This window comes from Homo sapiens, chromosome 2 (assembly GCF_000001405.40).
Source record: "Homo sapiens chromosome 2, GRCh38.p14 Primary Assembly".
Taxonomy (NCBI): domain Eukaryota; kingdom Metazoa; phylum Chordata; class Mammalia; order Primates; family Hominidae; genus Homo; species Homo sapiens.
Genome location: NC_000002.12, coordinates 45639889 through 45660378, shown reverse-complemented (window position 1 = coordinate 45660378; position 20490 = coordinate 45639889). Strand labels below are relative to the sequence as shown.

At 47.9% G+C, this 20490-nt stretch overlaps 1 protein-coding gene and 1 long non-coding RNA gene across 10 annotated transcripts in view, besides 8 other annotated features; one reads left to right on the top strand and one right to left on the bottom strand.

The window, feature by feature from the left end:
* The window catches only part of PRKCE (protein kinase C epsilon), a 536712-nt gene extending 527612 nt beyond the window's left edge, over positions 1–9100 (bottom strand). For 6 of the 8 annotated variants that reach the window (XR_007078551.1, XR_939695.3, XM_011532980.4 and 3 more), the window contains exon 1: positions 7931–8704. Coding sequence is in view for 5 of the 8 variants with exons in the window: in NM_005400.3 (NP_005391.1) it covers positions 7931–8278 (348 nt within the window). In the remaining 3 variants the exon portion in view is untranslated. Of the gene's footprint in view, positions 1–7930 lie in introns of all 8 variants that reach the window. The other 2 variants (XM_005264428.2, XM_047445100.1) reach the window with 1 other exon arrangement.
* Positions 8026–8646: an enhancer, noted in NCBI's record as "H3K4me1 hESC enhancer chr2:45878872-45879492 (GRCh37/hg19 assembly coordinates)". NCBI's record gives its function as "activates a minimal SCP1, AML or CMV promoter by ChIP-STARR-seq in naive H9 embryonic stem cells {active_cell/tissue: H9 hESC(naive)}" and the evidence as "EXISTENCE:reporter gene assay evidence [ECO:0000049][PMID:30033119]".
* Positions 8805–9274: a silencer, noted in NCBI's record as "silent region_11441". NCBI's record gives its function as "represses an Ori minimal core promoter by ATAC-STARR-seq in GM12878 lymphoblastoid cells {active_cell/tissue: GM12878}" and the evidence as "EXISTENCE:reporter gene assay evidence [ECO:0000049][PMID:35858748]".
* Positions 8805–9429: a biological region, named in NCBI's record as "Sharpr-MPRA regulatory region 4153".
* Positions 9135–9429: an enhancer, noted in NCBI's record as "tiled region #4153; HepG2 Activating non-DNase unmatched - State 1:Tss, and K562 Activating DNase matched - State 4:PromP". NCBI's record gives its function as "activates a minimal TATA promoter and a strong SV40 promoter by Sharpr-MPRA in HepG2 and K562 cells {active_cell/tissue: HepG2 | K562}" and the evidence as "EXISTENCE:reporter gene assay evidence [ECO:0000049][PMID:27701403]".
* Positions 9164–11652, top strand: LOC102724965 (uncharacterized). Of its 2 annotated transcripts, none has more exons than XR_005647119.2 (2): positions 9164–10414; positions 10996–11652. It is a non-coding gene; the product is annotated as an uncharacterized LOC102724965 (long non-coding RNA). The 2 variants fall into 2 exon arrangements; XR_005647118.2 differs by having other exon boundaries at positions 9166–10426.
* Positions 9445–9544: a silencer, noted in NCBI's record as "silent region_11440". NCBI's record gives its function as "represses an Ori minimal core promoter by ATAC-STARR-seq in GM12878 lymphoblastoid cells {active_cell/tissue: GM12878}" and the evidence as "EXISTENCE:reporter gene assay evidence [ECO:0000049][PMID:35858748]".
* Positions 10175–10274: a silencer, noted in NCBI's record as "silent region_11439". NCBI's record gives its function as "represses an Ori minimal core promoter by ATAC-STARR-seq in GM12878 lymphoblastoid cells {active_cell/tissue: GM12878}" and the evidence as "EXISTENCE:reporter gene assay evidence [ECO:0000049][PMID:35858748]".
* Positions 16433–16642: a silencer, noted in NCBI's record as "silent region_11438". NCBI's record gives its function as "represses an Ori minimal core promoter by ATAC-STARR-seq in GM12878 lymphoblastoid cells {active_cell/tissue: GM12878}" and the evidence as "EXISTENCE:reporter gene assay evidence [ECO:0000049][PMID:35858748]".
* Positions 19807–19983: a silencer, noted in NCBI's record as "fragment chr2:45867535-45867711 (GRCh37/hg19 assembly coordinates)". NCBI's record gives its function as "represses an EF-1alpha promoter that drives an FKBP-Casp9 reporter gene in an ReSE screen in HepG2 liver carcinoma cells {active_cell/tissue: HepG2}" and the evidence as "EXISTENCE:reporter gene assay evidence [ECO:0000049][PMID:32094911]".

The following is a 20490-nucleotide window of genomic DNA, read 5'->3' as shown; positions in this document are numbered from 1 at the left end:
CTTCAGCTTGATGCAAATTGCTATGTGGAAATAATATAGCATTCTCTCATAAGAACATCTTCAGGGATCTCATAGATTTTTATAAAATAAAATATCCTTTTCTCCTTCCTCCTCCTCCTCACTTCTTTCAACTGTACAGAAGGATTGTTTAAGAAATTCATTCAACTGGTTTCTATCGAGATGCCATGCTCCTCAGAGGCAGGAACTACACATACACAACTTTTGTGTTACCAAACCCCATATCTACCAACAGTGCTAGACCATAGTAGGTACTATAGAAATACACACTTGTTTTGTGTTCATTCATTCATTCATTCATTCAACAATGTGCCAAGAAATTTATTCATTCATTCAACAATTTATTCATTCATTCAACAAAGTGCCAGGCACTGTTTTGGGTGCTGAGATAAAGCGGTGAACAAAAAGCTCTACATTTATAGAGCGTCTGGTGTTCTGGTATTAGAAATAAACAACAAAGATAAATAAGAAAACTAAATAGCGTATCAGATAGAGGTAAGAGTAAAGAGTAAAAAAAAAAAAAGGCAGGAAAGGCGCATATGAAGCATAAAATAAGAGGGTGAACTTTTAGATAGGATTGCCAGAAAAGGCCTTACTGAGAACATAACATCTGAGCGAAGACTTGAGCCATGTGGATATCTGGGAAAAGGGCATTCTAAAAAAATGGGATGGCAAGGGTAAAGACTGAGGCAGGAGCATGGTAAGTGCATTTAAGGGGTGTCAAGTGGGTCAGGATAGCTAGAGAGGAATGAACAGGGAGAAGAGTGGCAAGTGATAGGGTCAGAGAGGTCACAGCAGAAGGCCTGACTTTGTTGGTCTTGTAAATTATGGTAAGGGATAATCTCACCTGAGAGATCTGTGAGCAGAGACAGGAGCTGAGAAGCCAGGACAGGTGGAAGCAATTCAGAGGCTGTTGAAATAATCCAGGTGTGAGATAATAGTGACTTGGACCCAAGTGAGGTCAGCAAAGGTATGGAAAGGATGTGATCTGAGATATATTTTGAAGGCAGAAAGAGCAGATGTTGCTGATGGATAAGATATGGGGCACCTGAGAATTACAGGCGTCAAGGATGGCCCCTCAAGGTTTTTGGCTGGGTAATTGGAAGGATGGAGTTGCCATTTCTTAAGCTGAGGAAGAAGGGCTTAGATTGAGGAGAGGGGAAAATAGGTATACAATATTAGGCATATGGAGTTTAAGATGCCCTTTACACAATGAAAGCTGAGGACCTGAAGGCAATCCCATATATAAAGTCTAGAGTTCAGGGTCAGGCATGAGCTGGAATTAGGAATTTAGTGTCAACAGCACTGAAAGTGTATTTAAATCCATGAAACTAGATGACATTGGCACAGTAAAACCAAAACACCAGCTCCCAAATATCCTCATTTCCAATTACCCATACCTCTTCAATAAATAATTAACCTTTGTCTACAATGACCGCAGCTTCTAGACTTTCCAGAACAATCTCATTTCAAGTAATTCTATTATCTTCCAAAGGGCAATTTGTTAAGTATAACTAAGTCAAATTTATTTTTAGAGTATGTAAGACTTTTCATATAAATACATTCACAAATCAAGGAGAAAAATATATTTCACTGGACCATATGTTCTGATTTAAGATTCTAAAACTATGAACACACAAATGACTCTTCAAATATTAATAAAATTGCTGAAATGTATTATAGCCAGACCACTTGCTACAAGCTTTATAGTTCCTTATTTAATTCTCATAGCAACTCTGAAAGTCAAGACCTACGACATTTCCATTTTACAGATGAAGAAACGGGCTTAAAAAGCCTAAGTCACATGCTCAAAGTCACACAACTAGTGAGTGGTGGAGATGCCTTCCAGTTAGAACTCACTGAATCCAGGGAGAGCGGTCCATTGAGGAGCCAGGGAATTCAGGGTCTCAAATATTCACTAAATCTGCTGCTGGTCAAAGACACTAAGAAGAAGAAACAGTTCAAACAACGCTTGACTGTCCATGAAGTTGAAGGCTAACTCAGGTCCTTAACTCTAGGGACCCAATGCCAAGAGGTTGTCTGTGATAGCACTGGGCCAAGAATGAATCCTTTGGGTAGTTGTTAAACAACCAGCTATGGACCAATGAGAGCAATATTGGATTACATGGTATTATGGGAGTAGGGGAAAGGGAGATCCAGGGACCCTTGGCTGCTGGGGAAATAATTCAGGGTATAGGCGCACACGAAGGAGGTATGGACAATTGCCAGCCCTTCCCTACCTCCTTACCCCCTTAGTAGTCCCTTCCCACCCCACTGTGTTTAAATGACAATGGAGGTTTCAGAAATCCTTTTAAAAAATTTTTTCCTACAAATGTCCTGAAGATAGAGATGTGCTCTAGAGTAACATATATCAAAGTGCGGTCAGGCTGCCATTGTAGGAGATGCAGCAGGGGTCCTGCTTAACTCAGGCTCCATTCGGGGCATCAGAATCAGCACTGCTAGAGGCTGTGCCCTGGCATCTGTGTTGCATGAATCTCCCCCAAGTGATTCTGGTGGGCCAAGGGAGAACGGCCTCAGAGCCTAACCTCTCCGAATGATGTACAGGCCTATCTCCCAGAGTCCAAACAGGGTATAGGCCTATCTCCCAGAGTCAGCAGGGGTGCCATCATTTTGAAAAGCTTTGCCGATGGGCTACTTGGGAAATACAAACCAGAAATGACACTTCTAGTGTCCCATTCTTTGCCAAATGAGATGGCCAGACTGAAGAGAGCTACTTTGGAGAATATGAAAACCTAGCTTTCTCGTGGCCTATATAATAATCAATTCAGTCAAAAACTCTCTCTAGGCCAGCCCCATGCTCATTTTGGGGGCTATAATAATAATAATTATAGTAGATATGCATTGAGCAGTTACTAGGGACCAAGCATTGGTGTATGCATTGTACATGTATTAACTCATTTTAATCCCCACAGTAAACCCATTTCATTATAGGGAGGTATATTTATTATCACCCACTTTGTACAGGGGAAGGAATGGAAATACGGAAGGTTAAGTCACTCGCTAAAGGTCATGAAAGTGGTAGATGGTAGAAGTGGGATTCAAGTCCAAGCAGTGTGACTCCAGACTTCGCTGCTCCGGGGAATCACCTCTCAAATGATGGCTTTCTGTACCTCTGGATTCTGAGTGCCTGCCTCTTCTACAGAATACAGCAAGGGAGTGACATTCGCCAAAGATGTCTTCAGAGGCAGGGCAGTAGAACAAAGAGGAAACTGAGCTCAGTGTGTAGACTACTGAAGCAATGATAGAGAAAAATCCAAAATGTGAACGAGCCAGCTAGCTGTCACCTGCATGCAGCCCTTCAAGCCCTAATCCTTGCTCCGCCTGCCTCCCACCCCTGTGCTAAATGCAATGCCAATCCATCCAGCATTCATTCAGCCTCTGCTTCTAACATGAATCCCAATACTTCTAGTTCACACAATTATTATTCTAAATCTTTCTTTAAAAATTATAAAGTTATACAGTCACATTTCAGGACATATCTATGTAAAAATGCTTGATCCATTAATTATCTGGAGCCCTCTCTGGCCTGCAATTTCTATTCTAGCCCAATGTTTCTCAAAGCAAGCCTGGTCTGGTCAGAATCTCTGGGACAGCTGGTTAAAAATGTAGATTCCCAGCTTATTCCAAATTGTAGCATCAAAAGCTCTCAAGGTTGGGCCAGAGGATCTATATTTTTATCTATATGGATCTATATAAATCTATATAGATCTATCTTTTATATGCCCTCCCTTACTGATTCTTATGTACATGAAAGTCTGAGTAGCGTTATTAACTGGTTCTTGGAAAACCCAGCTATAGCAATAGTGTTATAATAGATTTTACTTCAAAGCATCAGCAAAATCTTTCCTTCTCTTTGTAATGAGCTTTCTCTAAAGCAACCTCCTTTGTCATCACAACTGAAACATCTCTCATTATCTGGAGAATAATTATCTCAGCTTGGCTTTTACGCATTCTAGAATTCACCTCAGTTTTCTAAACTTTTTCCTACTCCAATGTTTCCGAAGTGTGGGCCCCACATCACTAATGATGTTCAGAGGCACTTGGAATGAACTTTGTTTCTGTATTGTAGAGCCCTGTTTATTTTAATGTGAACAAAGAAAAGTTATAACTACATGCTCCAAACCTGTGATTTCATGAATAGTGGGGCTTAAGAAAAGACTACGTGGAAAATAAAAGAATCAATTTTTTAAATATTAAGTAAATGAAAGCACAGGCAGTACTCAGAAAAAAGTCTTAAATTTGGGAAACCTTGTCCTGCCCACTCCTTTCTGACAGGTACACTCAGTTTCTGTCCTGCTCATCCATTCTCCAACCCTGACTACAGGATTGTCTGCCTTTATTCCTGCGGTGGCCATGCCAGGAACACTGCTCCTTCTTGTAGATACCTCTTTAAATATAACCTACTGTTTCACACTCAGCTCATGCCTCCTTCCAAAAACCCTCCTGGATTCTTCCAGTTCTCCCTACCTTTTTTTTTTTTTTTTTTTTTTTTTCAAGAGACAGGGTATCACTCTGTCACCCAGGCTGGAATGCCGTGGCCTGATGGTCAGATCATAGCACACTGCAGCCTTGAACTCCTGGACTCAAGTAATCCTCCCACTTTGGCCTCCTGAGTAGCTGGGACTACAGGCACACACCACACCGCAGGTCCAGATTTGGCTAATTTTTAAGTTTCTTGTAGTTATGGAGTCTTACTACGTTGCCTAGGCTGATCTTGAACTTCTGGACTCAAACGGTCCTCCCAGCTCAGCCTCCCAAGTAGTTGGGATTGCAGGCATGAGCCACAGTGCCTAGCCCACACTCCCTTTTTAAACTCTTAACACACTAATGGTACCACCTGTGTGGAACCTAATTGCTAGTTAAGTGTCTACATCAGGGTGTCCAACTTTTAGGCTTCCCTGGGCCACATCGGAAGAAGAATTGTCTTGGGCCACACATAAAATACACTAACACCAATGATAGCTGATAAGCTAAAAAAAAAAAAAATGCAAAAAAACTTATAACGTTTTAGGAAAGTGTACAAATTTGTGTTGGGCTGCATTCAAAGCCATCCCGGGCCACATGTGGCTAACAGGCCATGGGTTAGACAAGCTTGATGTATATGTGGGTACTTGGTGTCAATTCCTTGGTGAAATGGAAGCCCCTTGAGAGTAACCCAGGGCCTCATTTTCCTCTGGATGGCCCACAGTGAGAAGCTTCCCTGGTTAGACATGAGCACAAAACAGGAACTCCAGGAATACAAGTGAATTCAAAGTGCGGCAGAATTCGGTGTTCCGCAAAAATGAGAGAAACGGCTGCTTTATGCTATCCACATCCCCTTACTTCAGGCCAGATCTCTCAGCCACACCTGAGAAGGGTGTGTTTCTTCATTCCTGCCAGGTAAGGAGTGAAGAGACCTGAGCCCAGGGAATTCTACCCAAAGCTATGAAACCATGGGTTTACCCTGAATGTTAAGACTGGGAAAGGTGAACTTAGCCCAGCTGCAACTTGTCTCCATTTCCAGGGGCCAGTCACCCCTGCCAATGAGTCCCCACCTTCAGCCTGGAGGAACCAGAGTGGCTACAGCATCCTCTGGTGAAAACAGATGGGCATTCTGAACCTGCTCCACTGCTTGACTCATCCTTCAGACTTTGGGCTTCTCTATCTCAAGTTTTTTAGTTTGTCCAATACCTGCCATACCTAATTCACAGTTGCTATAAGGCAAAAGAGATGAAGTTATCAAGTACAATAAAAATGTCAGGGACACAGCACATGGATCTGCAGGGAGAATAGGCTGGGAGGCCAGATGGGCAGGCTCGGCTCCCCATCAGACAAGCCATGGGCAACAGGCGGTGAGGGCCCTACTTCCAACCCACCTTTGCTTGTCATGTGACCCTCGGTCCCCAACTAGCTTCTCTGGAACTCAATGTCCTCATCTGTAAAACTTGCCTGTGCACTAGATGATCTGGCCTAGGGCCAAATCCAACATGAATTTGAGAACCTTAGAGGATGATAACCAAACAAGTTCCCACTGCATGCTTCACTAGGAGGGATGAAGGTGGGGACAGTGTCCTGAAGCTCCCAGAGTTTGGGGTGTGCCCCAGTGAAGCATCACCAGAGATACAAAGACACTCTCCCTCCAACCAACATCTGTTCTATGGATAAATGCAGACCTGCTGCTCCTCATCCCTGCTCTCTGCCCCACTGTCCAAGCCCCTCATCTGCATACACTGCAAAAGGCTCCCATCTCCTAGCTACCAGCGTCAAGTTTTTTCCACCCCCTTCCTGTCCAAAAACAACAACTCCAAAATCACAGGTTTTCAGAGTCAAGGTCTACCTCTGAAATTAGTTATCCCTTCCACTCCCCCTCTCATATGCACTGCATTCATGAGGAAAGGGCCCAAAGGCCATGCATGGAAAAGAAATGGGGAATGAGTGGGAGCTCTGTTGTGGGGGCTGAAGGAAGCAGAGATGAGGGACATCTGTGAAGTAGAATAGAATGGCATGGAGTTCTCTGGGATTCCATAAAGGTTTGCCTGCTTTCCAAAGTGCAAACCACAAATCTAGAGTTCTACGCATGTGGCTTGTTGGAGCTTCCCTGTGAAACCGTAACCATGGTTTCAGGCAGACTACATCACAGCCATGAGCACAAAAACAACAGGCTCTCTCTTATTTTTCCCTAAAACTCCGTGTCCTTGAAAAAAATATGTAAGGTGATATGCCAAAGTGATCCATGTGCAACCTCTGACCTCTAGGACATTCATGAAGTTAGCTGGTTTTCAATAGAAAGCAATTGCTCTACACCACTTTTGAGGCTTAGATAGCTCTCTCACTTTTTGTGTAGACCAAAGAACCCTGAAAACATATACCTCCAGAGGAACGCTTGTACTTGCTGGAAACATGTAACAAACCTGAAAACACAAAAATCCACATCCTAAATTAATACCTTCCTTCCAAGAAGAGAGAAAAAAAAAAAAAAAAAAAAAAAAACAACCCAAAAACAAACACAAAAAGCAAAATGAAGGTTTGCTTCTCTCTGCTTGTCCAAGTGCCAAGACTGGATGCATTTGGTTTATAGTAGATTGAGACAAGACCTCTTTCCAAATCCTTAATAGTTTAATAATGGAATCAATTAACAACTCAATCTCATACTTAGAAATCGTCTTTTATTGCACAGTATCTTGACAATCAAAACAGAGAAACAATATAACTTTAAATAAGATTCAAAGCACTGACTTCCAATTACCCACAAGCAGAACCCTTCTTAAAATGCAACATTCATTCTGCATGGATGGGCAATGAATTGGACAAAACAAGCTCGACTGATGTTTCTGGGACCATAGAGGAGACATCCTGGAGGAGAACACATTTTTTCTACTTGTATGTCAGAAGATGAGCTAACCACCATGCAAGAGAATAGAAACAAGCCAGCTTCCTCTCGGAGGGAAAAATAAAGCAACTCCTCGCTCGGCTAAGCAGGACAAAGCCAGGACGTGCAAGAAGCCTTCAGTCAAAGGCTCCACGTGCCTTTCCAAGGACGGAGGGACCCACCCACACACAATCACACACAGCCAGCCCACCACGCGCCTGCGGAAGAAAGCCGGGTCCTCGGCCAACCTTCAGCACCAGTGGCCCAGGCTCTCCCAGTTTGCAAACCTCCCGCAGCACCCACCAACTGGAGGGCACAGAGGGAGCAGAGGGCCACATCCTCTTTCCAAGTCTCATCTTCCTCGCCAATGCCTGTTTCTCCCCAACTATGAAGTGAAGTGTACCTCCCCAAGGAAACTGAGACTTACAGGCACACACACCCCAGTCGTCAATAAGTCCCGGAGCCCTACGATCAAGACCAGCGAGTCTTTCCCCGGGACCCCACAACCGGGTTCCCGGAATGACGGGGAGGCGCCGCACTCACCCAGTCCTCGAAGTGGCGGCTCCCGTTCTGCAGCAGCTCCTCAAACTGGATGGTGCAGTTGGCCACGAAGTCGTCGTAGCCTATGGGGGCATCGTGAAAGACAGCCAGCTCGATCTTGCGTCCGTTGCACACATCGGTGACGAACTCGTCGTGCCAGGCCGGGCTGTTGGTCTTCTGCTTGGTGGCCGTTTGGCCGATGCGCGAGTCGTCCACATTGAGGGCAATGTAGGGGTCGAGAAGGAAAGTCTGCGGCCGGGGTCCCACCGCATGGCGCAGCGACCAGGCTGTGGGCTTCAAGCTCACGGCCTCGCAGATTTTGATCTTAAGAAGGCCATTGAACACTACCATGGTCGGGGCGGGGAGTGGGGGCCGGGGTCACTCCGTCTGCCCCGAGGGCAGGAATGAAGAACCGACGGCCCGGCACTCCGAGCCACAGGGACTCTTGGGTCCCCTTTCGCCCCACCCCGCACACTCCCTACACCTTGTGGCGTTGCGCCCTGGCGCGGGCGATTCTCAGCCAGTGCATGTATTTCCTCGCCGGGTTCCTAACGGAAAACAGGGAGGGGGGAGAGCTGGGGGATGTCCGTGTTTGGAGCAAGTCTCTCCCCCCGACCACCAGCTGCACCTCCAGAAGAGAAGACGAGCTGTCGGCTCCGCTGCAAGCCGCGGGGGCTGCCTCGCCGCCTCGCTGGCTCTCCGGCTCCGGACTGCGGGAAAGCGGGCGCCGCGCCCGGCGCTTACCTACCTTTCCGAAACATAATCCCGGGAAATTTCGACTCCGGGAGGGGGATGGGGCGGTGGGACGGGGCGGGGACGAGAACCGGGGGCGCAGATTTCAACCCGGATCCTCTTCGCACACTCAGCGCCTGCCTCTGACCGCGCGGGGCGGGGGGGTGAACGGAGGGATGTTCAGTCTATCCGGAGGGATGCATGTCGAGAGGAAATGGTCCTCCTCGGAGCCAAATTTTTAAAAATCCACAAGCCCCACGGCCAGCCGGGGCCGCCGCCTCCTGGGCGAAGCAGCGCCGCGCCGGAGCCGGCGATCGGGAGGCGCCAGGAGCCCGGAATCTCACATCCGCGCGGGCTCGGAGTCCGGGCGGCCGCCGATCCGGCTCGGGGGCGCAGGCCAGCACCGGGCGGTGCGCAGCGCGGCGGCGGGGCAGGGACTGCGACTCAGCGCGGCCCCACCTCCTGGGCGCCGGCGCCCGCCCTCCGCGCTCCCCGCGTCCCCGCTCTCGGCTGCCGCTCGCTCGCCGCCCGCCAGCCCGCGCTCCCCCGCGGTCTCCTCTCCCTCTGTCGGTGTGCGAGCGAGTCTCCCTCCCTCTAATGCAGGAAATGCGCAAAAGACGTCAGTGTGTGTGAGTGTGTGTGTGTGAGTGTGTGTGTGTGCACGCGCGCGCGCGCACGGCAGTGTTTGGGGAAATAGAAAGTTTTGCCGGTTGGGGGAGCAATACGGAAAAAGTGAGCCGAGGAGACAACGGTGGAGAGCTGGCGAGGCTGCCCGGGGTCGCAGCGGCGGGCGGGTCAGCCGGGGGGCGGGGACCCCGCGCGGGACCCCGGGGTGCGGCGGCGCTGGGCTGGATGCGCGTGCCGGGGGCCGTGGATGGCCATGGATGGGCCCCGCCGGGCCGCGTATCTCTCGGGGACCCTGCGGCCAACACTGTCTTTTAGAGCCGGGGATGGGGGAGTGGAGGGGGCCCTGTTGCCCTAGAGGCCTCGGGACCCTTCCCTTGCCCACCCCCACTCGGGCCGCGGCGGGCAGGAGCAGTCTGCGGAGTTCTGGCCCATCTGTCACTCTGTCCCGGGACGCTGTGATCCACGGCGGTGGGGGAGGGGGAAGGGGGAGGGACAAGCATGGCTCGGGTGAAGTTTTAAACTCTGTTCTTCTCTCTTGCCTTTCTTTGGGGACATTCTCCCCTTTGGGATCTGTCCTGGACTTCGCAGGCTGCGAGAACTTGTTGACAAGTGAAAGCTCGGTAGAGCCCCGGCTTGGTTTGTGGTCTGCTTATTTTTTGCAAAGTGACTGTTCCTGTTTGCGCTGGTCCTTATCGGTGCCCCTTTGGGGGACTTCGGCACTGATCAGCGCGCTGACAGCCGCCGTCCGGGCTGCGGGAAAATGGGGCGCGCCCTCCGGGGGGCGAGTGGCTGTGTCCTTGCTAATTTCCTCCGTAACCTTTAAACTCTCGCTGGAAGCTACCGCCGCGGCTGGTCACGTGAGGAGAGCCCTGGGCTGCTGGGGAAAAATTTCCTCGGCTGGGAGCCGGGACCGGGCCGGCGGCCGGCGAGGGACTGCCCCGCGCCCGAGACTGGGAACCTGGGAGGGCAGGGCCGGAGCGCTGGGCCCCGGGGCGCGGCCCAGCTGGGACACCCGCGAAGACGGCGGCGGTGAAGAGGTCGGCTCCGCTGCCGGGGAGCTGGGGATTATGCAAATGGGGAAAGAAAACCTCCGCCCTCGCCCTTCTGCCAAGTCAAGTCTGGGAATTTGTAGGTATTGTGGTAAGCTGAGTGTTCATCTGGCGGGTCTGGTTAGTGTAAACCAAAATTTAAAACGCGCCTCCCGATCACTTTTTCCTCAGTGGGTAAAGGTTATCATTGCCTGCGGCTTAAAAGCCTAAAAAGGCTTAAAGGCGAGGAAGGAGGCAGTCCCCTGGAAAAACAGGATATCAAGTGCAGCAAACACGTCCCAAAAATGATCCGAAAAGTTCTAGGGCCATCTCCTAAGAACAGGCAAAGCCTTTGCCTGCAACCGCTCTGGAGCTTCCTAATACAGTAATTTCTCGCAGCCTGCCCTGTTGAACAGGGCAGCTGGGTAGAGATGGTGCTAAGATTCAGTCTTCCGTATGATCTAGGTAGCTCCGATGTAAAAAGCCAGGATTTCAATGGTTGTCTTACCCTGTCACTCCCCCAGCTGGAGATACGATATCTTAAAATATGTCCGTTTGACAAAGCACAAGCAGGGGTATCTCATTGCTGTTTAATTTTTATTTCTTTGATTATTACTTTTTTCCCTTTTGCTTCTTCCTTCCACTCTGCTATTCTCATGAAGCCTCTTTCCCCCTTTCCAGGGCATGTGATGGAAGGCAGTGGCAAATATGGCTTGATCTTCTGAAAATGCATTTGGGAAGCAGAGCCAGCACCAAAGTGAGATGAGTGAGATACTTTTCAGAGGCAAAATGTAAAGGGTACCAATAAACGTAATCAAGATAAAGATTTAATACAATTTTTTAAAAATAAAAATGTGAGAATCCAGAATGGACACAATATCCACATTTTAAATAATTTTAAATATTGCACTAAAATATTTATACTACTGAGTTTATTGGCACCTGTTAAATTTTGTACCTGAGCCGAGTGCGTCACTCATCTCACCCTAGTCCTGATCCTGTTGGGAAGTCTGGAAAGTCAAGGATTTCATGGAGTTAGGGATCCTTGACTAATTGGTGCTTCATATGTTCTCATTACTTGCTTTGGGTAAGTCTTGTACAGGCAGGAGCCACCATGCCCAGCCCCCAAATATATTAAATAGGGTCTGTTACCATCTCAGTGACTGTCTTAAAACAACCTACAAACTTCCAGCACCATTTCCTAGCATGCTGGCTCAGCAGACTGTTACTCCGTGTAAATCACCAGACTGCAATTCTCAAGGGCGACCAATGCTTGTCTCCTTTCCATTACAGCAACTCTTTTGGAGCAAGGGTAATAAAAGACTTTGTCAAACAAAATACATGTTTTGTATTGGATTAATGTTTACATAAAAAGGGAGAATGCTGGTAGTCTGCATGCAAACACTGCTAGTTTCCTGCCCTTATTACCTCCTTATTTCTAAATAAATCTCTCGCCTTCCTACTCTCAAACTTGGCCAAATGAAAAGTTGAATTCCCCAGGGACATCATGGAGATGCCAGGTCCAAAATAACCCCCTGCTCCAGGTTTCATGTGAAAAGAAAATCCCAAGGAGGGGGCTTAGACGGTAAAATTCCAATAGGAAATTATTGCCAGCTTCATCCTTCCCTCAGCCCCTGTCTCCAATCCCAAAGGATAAGACAGTGGTTAGCATATACATTGAGTAAAATGACCTTTGGATTCCAACTATGGCCTAGTTATTTCATAATCTTTGTGAGAAGGAAGAAAATGATACAATAATTTAACAAAGATGACCAAAATGGAGCCTTTCTCCTTTCAAAATTAAGGCTTATGAGAAAAGAATAGAACAACAGATGTGGCCAGGACAGGGCGATCAGTGTTGCAATAGGTCTATGGATGGGAGTGGCACAGAAGAAGGATCACCCCTTTGCCTGGGGAGCCTGGGAAGGCATCAACCAGCAGAATCCTTTGAGCTGAGTCTAGGCTTTCCAACAGGAGTTCTTCCAGCAGCAAAGAGGGAAGGGAAGGGTACTGGCTGCAAAAAGTATAATGTGTACAGGTAGGAAAGCCATGACTCTTCAGGTAAGCGGCCAGGTGTGCCCCACTTGTGGCAGGTAGTAACAGGAGATGAAGTAAGTAGGAACCTGATAGTTAAGACCTCAGAGGGCCTGCAGATGGGTCTCAACTTTTTCCTGGAGAGACACCAAACATTCCAGCGGGCAAGCAGCATAACTAGAGTTAATACTTTACAAAGGCGATTTTGTGATGGATAAATATTTTTCTCTTCTGTAATTTTCCTCCAGAAGGCTCACCTCAAAACAGGGTATTAGACAAAGAGAAGATCCAAGTCTGAAGATGATTTACACTCTGTATAATCAAAATTGAAACTGTCTGTGGATACTGTTTAGATCAGCTGGAGGAAGCGGGGAAGGGGGAGCCAGAACCGTAGACTAGCGCGTTAATATTCATGTCCCTGTTGCTGTGCTGGTTGTTGCCATTTATAGAATGTTAATGGGCTTCTGCAAAGGTCTGCCTGGTCAGGGTCTATCATACATTCCACACATGCTCCGCTGAACAGAATCCAACCACCTGGGCCATGGGATGGAACGCGCAGCAGTATAATGACACAGAAACCTTCTAGAGCTCCGCTGGTCCTGCCCCAGCCTAGCCCCCACCCGACCCTGAGCCCCACTTCAAACTTTGCCCCACACCTATACTCCTGTGGTGGGCTTTTGTCTGCCCTGCCATGTCTTCTTATTTTGGCCCCATCTCAGCTCCGAATTCTGGCCCCATCTCTGCTCTATATTCTGTTGCAGTGACTCAGGCCAAGCTTCACTTAATACCTGCAAAGAGGTGGAGGGATCAGAGGCAGCCCTATCGAGCTTGCTGATGGATGCAGAAGGAGATGGCCTGGTGCCCCTATTCCTCAGGGCCTGTGACTGTGAGCCCTACTCACTAGGATGCCATTTGGAGAATAGCATAACATTCTTCATCTTCTGTGGGTCAGATGTTGGGTTGTGTCTTGGGATTTTTTTTTTATAAGGGACAGAGTCTCACTCTGTTGACCAGGCTGGAGTACAGTGACACAATCACAGTTCACTGCAGCCTTGGCCTCCCAGACTTGAGCAATTCTCCCACCTCAGCCTCCTGAGTGGCTGGGACTAAAGCCATGTGCCACCATGCCCAGCTAAAGTTTTTTGATTGTTTTTGTAGAGATGGGGTCTCACTATGTTGCTCAAGCTGGTCTTGAACTCCTGGACTCTAGTGGTCCTCCTGCATCAGCCTCCCAAAGTGCTGGGATTACAAGTGTGAGCCACCGTGCCTGGCCCCTGTCTTGGACTTTTAAGATCATATGTCAATCCAAGGGTCTTTACTAAGTACTTGCTATATATAGGATACTAGGGCAGGTGCTCCAGGGAGGATAAATAGCTATATGGATAATCCCTACTCTACCTGGGGAGATGAGTAGATCAATTCAGTCGGTCCTTTATTTAACAGTCAGTAGTGTCATGTCATGTCATTTGGAGCACTAGGGAAACAAAAAATGACAACACAAAATGGCCCTTTATTAGTCAGGATTGGCTAGGTCATGCTGCTGTAATAAGCTCTCCCCAGATCCCAACACCTTAAAAGAACAAAGCTTTCTTCTCATGCATGCTGTAAGTCTATGGCAGGTTGGTTGGGAGCTCTGCTTCCCATTAGCGTCATTCTCACTTCTGGATCCAGGCTGGCTAAAAAGTTACCATCTGGAACATGGCTGGTCATGGGCAGAGAGAAAAAGGATGTCTGGAGGGTCTTACACAGGCAATTAAATAGTCCACCTGGTGGCTCATGCCTGTAATCCCAGCATTTTGGGAGGCCCTGGGTAGCAAAACCTCATCTCTACAAAATAAAATAAAATTAAATTAAATTAAAAAAACATAGCTGAGCATGGTGACGGGTGCCTGTAATCCCTGCTACCTGGGAGGCTGAGGTGGGAGAATTGCTTGAGGAGGCTGCAGTGAGCCAAGATTGTGACACTGCACTTCAGCCTAGGCAACAGAGCCAGACCCTGTCCCCCACCTGCCCCCCACCCAAAAAAATCCATCTGGAAGTGCTAAATATCATTTGTGCCCACTAATTGTTAGCTAGAACCAGTCTCAGATCCCGCCTTCCCCAACCACAGGGTCTGGGAAGTTCTACCATCTGTACTGTCAAGGAGCATGGAATGTTTGGTGAATAGCACTGAAGACTGCCATAGACACTATTCTCAAATGACAGGTGCAGAAAGGTAATTCAAGGTGGCACACAATAAATAACAAATAATCAGCCCACTCAGAAAGCACTATAGGAACTTAGGGTAGCAATAATCACAGTAAGAGTCAGACTGTTTGACCGTCCTCCCTCCCTTTTGCTCTGGGCCACTGCATACAGAAGACTCCAGATGACATGGAGAATCCTGCCTAATATCAGAACCAGCAGCCATCCAAGCTCCTTTCCCCTCCCCGTTATATGCTTAACACCTCATGGGACGTGCAGTTCCTTAAAGCCACTTTAGAACCACGGCAGCACAAAGGAGGCATTTGGGCCCAACAGAACTGAGAAGACTTACTTGTTAAACTCTGTGGGATTTGAGGGATCACTTGGTTTGTTTAATTAATTAATTAAGTTTTTGAAATGGAGTCTTGCTTTGTCACCCAGGCTGCAGTGCGGTGGCACACAATCTCGTCTCACTGCTGCAACCTCAACCTCCCAGATTCAAGCAATTCTCCTGCCTCAGCCTCCTAAGTAACTGAGATTATAGGCACACACCACCATGCCCAGCTAATTTTTGTATTTTTTTTTAGTACAGACAGGGTTTCACCATATTGGCCAGGCTGGTCTCAAACTCCTGACCTCAAGTGATCCACCTGTCTCAGCCTCCCAAAGTGCTGGGATTACAGGCATGAGACACTGCGCCCAGACTATATTCTTTATTGTTATTAAATTCCTCTATTAAATGAGGAAACTGATACCTAGAGAAGTTAACTGACTTGCCAAAAAAAAAAAAAAAAAAAAAAACAGAAAAAAAAACCCCAAAACACTACCTAGAGGTCTAGACCCAAATCTTATACCTTATACATTGACTGTTCTTTCTACATTGCCATGCCGGAACCAAGGCAGCACTATTTAATGATAATCATGTCAATTACATTTTAATTCCTTGGAAACATTTTTATAAACCTAAGGTCTAGATTTGTTTTAATTTATTGGCTCCAAATTAAACTAGCCTTAGCACAGTGCAATATAATAATTCTTTCAATAATAATCTATACTATAATAACATAATTCTCAAGGGAACTATGATGTTGATAGAGTTCTTCCTTAAGTTGTTTGGTAATAAGAGTCTTTAAAACAAAAAGACTGAAAGACTTTGTTGTTCTTCAACTTCTATATTTTTGTGTCTCCTCTCCCAATACCAATAGAATTATTGAGGTATTTTTGGCGGATGGTTTGATGCTACCTGTAACCAAGTTTAACAGCTGTCTCCCAGGCTCCCCTGTGGATATTTTACCAATTAGCAGAATGACTGATCTGATTGTTCAGACTAGGTTATATATCTCTAGCACATTCTGGATATTTGGTGAATCCATTTTTATTTCTAATTTACCTTTCAGGATCAACAAGCTGGGGCTAAAGGGCAAGGAATATTGCCTTTTGTCACTGATAAGCATTTGCGTGTAACAGAATGTGTAACCAGAACTGCTTAAATCCACGGGTTCTGTTGCAACACATGTGTTGGAAAGCTGCGAATCTGTCCCACTTTAAGGCCCAAGTCCTCCATGCACCGGGCCTCATCCCCTAGCTGAAGCTGTAACTCCTCCCTCAACTCTCCTACCGCTTCTTCCTCACGTCTCGTTGGAGTTCCTGCCTCTCCCTAATATACTGTAGTATAGTTCTTTGGTACCTGTCTTTGATCCTGCCACTTCCCTAGAGGTCTTTAAATTTGGAGACCCAGGATGACTCATGTTGGTGCTGCTCGGTATCTTGGACATGGTAAATGCAACTTTGTGCTCTATACACATTTGAAATGAGAAGAGTGTGAAATAGTCTTCTTGTGGGTCTCTTCCCTTCTTGCCCAAATGAGTGCCTTGAGGATGGGTGGGTCTCTTCTCTCTTCTGCAACCCACCCGGCAAGCCTGCAGTGACAAAGTCGCTGCGCGCTCTGATGCCGGGCCGCACCGGGGGGCTCCAGGCCGCCCGCGCCCCACTCCGCGAGCCGACAGCGCCCTCTGGTGGACGCTGGCGCGCTCGCCCCAGTGGCTCCCGAGGCTCTCACCGCCTCCGCTGTCTCCGCTCCCTGTGGTGCCCCGCTCAGCCCCGGACCAGCCTGGGGGAAGCGACCCTTCTACGTCCTGGCCGGTCTAGTTTCTCTGTCGTCGGCTACCGGGTCCCTCAGGTCACCCCACCCCGGCCGGAGCCGGATGGAGAGGCGAAGAGAGCCTTGGGTCTAAAAAGGGGTCCGGCGAGTCCGCCTGCCATCCCGGCTTAGCGGGGGACGAAGGGTCGCAGGGTGGGGGCCAGGAGGCAGCCCCTCTCTTCTCCGCCCCAAGAGACTTCCCAAGGCCAAGGTTGGAGGGGGCGGCCGTTAGGCCTGGAGCCAGGAGAACAGAGACCCACAAGAACAGCAGAACAGAAAGCAACTGGGAGGGAGGGGAGTTAGAGGGGAGCCACAGTCCCAGGAGAATTCCTAAGGCCCCGGAGCAGAAAAGGCGGCAGACCCGGGCAAGAAGGGGACAGGCGTGGAGGGGGCTGGTCATGAGGCCGTTTGACCCAGGGTCACAGTGCAGCCACGGTGGAAAGGTGGCTCATTGTCCAGTCTAATTCAAGCTGTGTGACTTAAGTTACCTGCGCTCTGGAAGCTTCATTGGCTCTTAAGTGGAGATTAGAAGAGGCTAGGACTGCTCTGTGGATGAACGGACTATGAAAGTGTCCTGCACATAGTACATGGCCACTAGGACAACAGCGAGCTAGGGGGATAAGCCAAGAGGAAGACCACACGGCATGGGACCACTGCCGTTATCCACATGCCCCAGGCAGGCGGAGGTCAAATGCAGTCACTCGGTGTATGCCAAAACTGTGCCCCCCAACTTTTTTTTAAAGCAACTTGGCTTTTCAAAGTGAAGAATTCTGTTCTTATCGCTGCATTAGAGCCACAGGCCATCTATTTGACAGTTAAATCCAAGTTGGGTTCAGGAAAAATACAGATAAAGGATTTGTGGTCTAGGTTTGTAAGAAGCTAGAATTTGAAGGTAAAGGTATTCGAAGGGCCTTCAGACAGACCACAGAGACCACCCCTGCATTTTCCCAAACCCGAGGCTGCAGGTCAGCTCCTGAAGCTGAGGTGAGGGTTGTGGGAAGTGGCCGTACAATCCCACTGCAGGCATCGCCTCCAGGATGGGAGGTGCTGGGCATGGGAGCAGGTCAGGACCTGCTTGGAGGCTGCTTCTCGTCATCCCAGCACATAGCTGGGCTTACTTTTCTGAAAAACACAGAAGCCATCAGCTGGGTTTGCCCCCAAACCTGGCAACAGCTTAGGAAGGAAGAAAGAATGTCATTCCTCCATCCCACCAGGTATCATGGAAGCAGGTGGCTGGGCTCAGGCCTCCACCTGTCTCCTGGCCGCACCACCCAGCCCTGCTTCCCAGGGACTCTGCTCTGTGGATCACCCCTCACTTCTCTTCTCCACCCTCGTTCCCTCTACCGGTTGTTTTCCTTCAGTAAGTCTCAGCCCTTTTAAAAAAAATTGTAACCCTTCCTCACCTCACATTTCTGCCCAGCTACCACCTAACCCTCTCCTCTCTGTCCCTTGTTGTTATTTTTCAGTCTCCATTTTCTTTTCTTACTACCCACTCCCTCCTCAGCCCATATCATTGGGCTCACTGAAACATCTCTCACTTCCATGCTGCTAAAACTCATTTTTGTGGTCTGTACCTTATTTGACCACTTTCTTTGCCGCAAATGATGCTGTCTCCCCTCTCGCCTTGAAATGCTCCCTTCTTCTAGTTTCTTTTTTTGTTTGTTTGTTTTGAGACAGAGTCTTGCTCTGTTGCCCAGGCTGGAGTGCAGTGGCACCATCTCAGCTCACTGCAACCTCCACCTCCTGGGTTCAAGCAATTCTCCCGCCTCAGCCTCCAGAGTAGCTGGGACTACAGGCAAGCACCACCATGCCCGGCTAATTTTTGTATTTTTGGTAGAGACGGGGTTTCACCATGTTGGCCAGGATGGTCTCGATCTCCTGACCTCATGATCCGCCCACCTCGGCCTCCCAAAGTTCTGGGATTACAAGCGTGAGTCACCTGCCCAGCCCTTCTCCTAGTTTCAAGGACATCTGAACTCTCCAAGTTTTCTTCCTACTTGCTTGACGTCTCCTTGTCAGTTTCTTTTCTCCTCTTCCTCTGCCCATCTTTTAAATGCATCATTATGTTATAGTTACACTGCAGAATTAGTTATGTTATATTTACATATAACACAGCTAGTGTTATGTAATATGTAAATTATATGTAAGTTATGTTATATTTACATATATGTTATATATGTTATGTTATAGTTACACTGTTAAGACAATAATGTAAAAGTTATCTTGATGAATCATCAGGTGAGTGACCACAAGGTGCTGTGACTTTGAGGGAAGGAAAGATAGATCACTGAGGCCTAAAGTGGTAAGGAAAGTCCCTGTGGAAGAAGAGAGGTGGACAATGGGCATAGACAAGATGCTAGAAGTTCAGAGGTAGAGAAAAAGAATGGACATTCCTGCTGGAGTAACTTCCTACTAAATACACAGAGGGGTGAACCTAAAGATTTAATCCAATGATTTTTAAACATCTCTTTGGGGACAGCACTTTGCTAGGCATGGCATAAAATTGAAAAGAAAGATGAGAGCCCCTTGTTTAAATTTTAGTTACTATTCCCATGAAATGATTAAATAGCACTATAAGGTAGCATTTGATCGAGATAAAGACGGTAGAAAGAAGGCAGAGGTCACATGGGCTTCCTGGAAGTGGCAAAACCCACGGGCTATCATGATCTGTATGAATTAGGGTAGGCTGACTGCTCTAACACGTAGATCCCCAAATGCATAAAAGCTCAAACACAGTAGTCATTTACTTCATGCTCATGTAGCAGTATTGGGTAGGTCAACAAATCAAAAGGGTGGCCCTGTCCTCAGGCTTCCACAGTCACCCTGAAGGTTGTCACCAGTGGAGCCATCCAGATAGAGAACAGATTACTGGGGAGCAAGTCTGGGAGGGTGTTATGGGCCAGGTCACTCGCATCCCATTGGCTAGGACTTAGTCACATGGTCACATATAATTGCCAGGGAGGCTGGGAAGCACAGCCCTGTAGTGTGCCCAGGAAGAAGAGGAGAGCCTGGCTTTTTGGTGAGCAGTGAGCAACGTCTCCCACTGGGTCCTTTCATCCTTTGCTGGAGATAAGGATGATCTGTTTGGGTTAACCCTCAGTGCAGAATTGAACCCCTCTCCATTTTCCTCTCCCTTTCCCCATCTTATTCCGTATAAAAAAGGCTATGAGGACTCTGTGGTGCAAGTGAAAGAGACACAGGTGCAGGTGTGGGCCAAGATAAGGACGATGAGGTGTGATGAAGAGGAGGCCATGCACTGGGCTAGGTGTGTCTAGAGAGGACATTCTCTTCCAGCTTCTCTCCTTCTGCCCATTAAAATGCCAAGTTGCCCTCATCTCTGGTGTGAGTTGTGGCATGGTGGGAGTCATCCCCGACTCTTTCCTGGGAGTGGGAGGAGGTCCATTCCCAACCCACAAATGAAACGTGGTCAGTGTCCTCCGTGCAGGTGACCTTAGAGTTGCTGCAATGCAGTGAAGGCTGATGAGCGAGTCACCTGGCACAGGCTTCAGATGTAATGATGGTCTGTACTTTGAACTTTTTAGGGAGCTTTTATATCCATCCCTCCTTTTTCCCCTCTTCTCAACCACAGTGCAGGGCAAGTATTATTCCCATTTTAAAGACGGGGCTACTAGAACTCAGAGAAAGTAAAGGACTCAAGTGCATCAGATCCAAGAGGAGAGCCTGGTTCTCCAGATCCCCAGACAAGGCTTCCCTCCTATGACCAACCTTGTCCACTTTATATGTGAAATGAGCTGGTGAGTATGTTTTATAATTCCCTGGAGTCTGAGTCTCCAAGGAAGCCCCCCCACCCCGCCAGG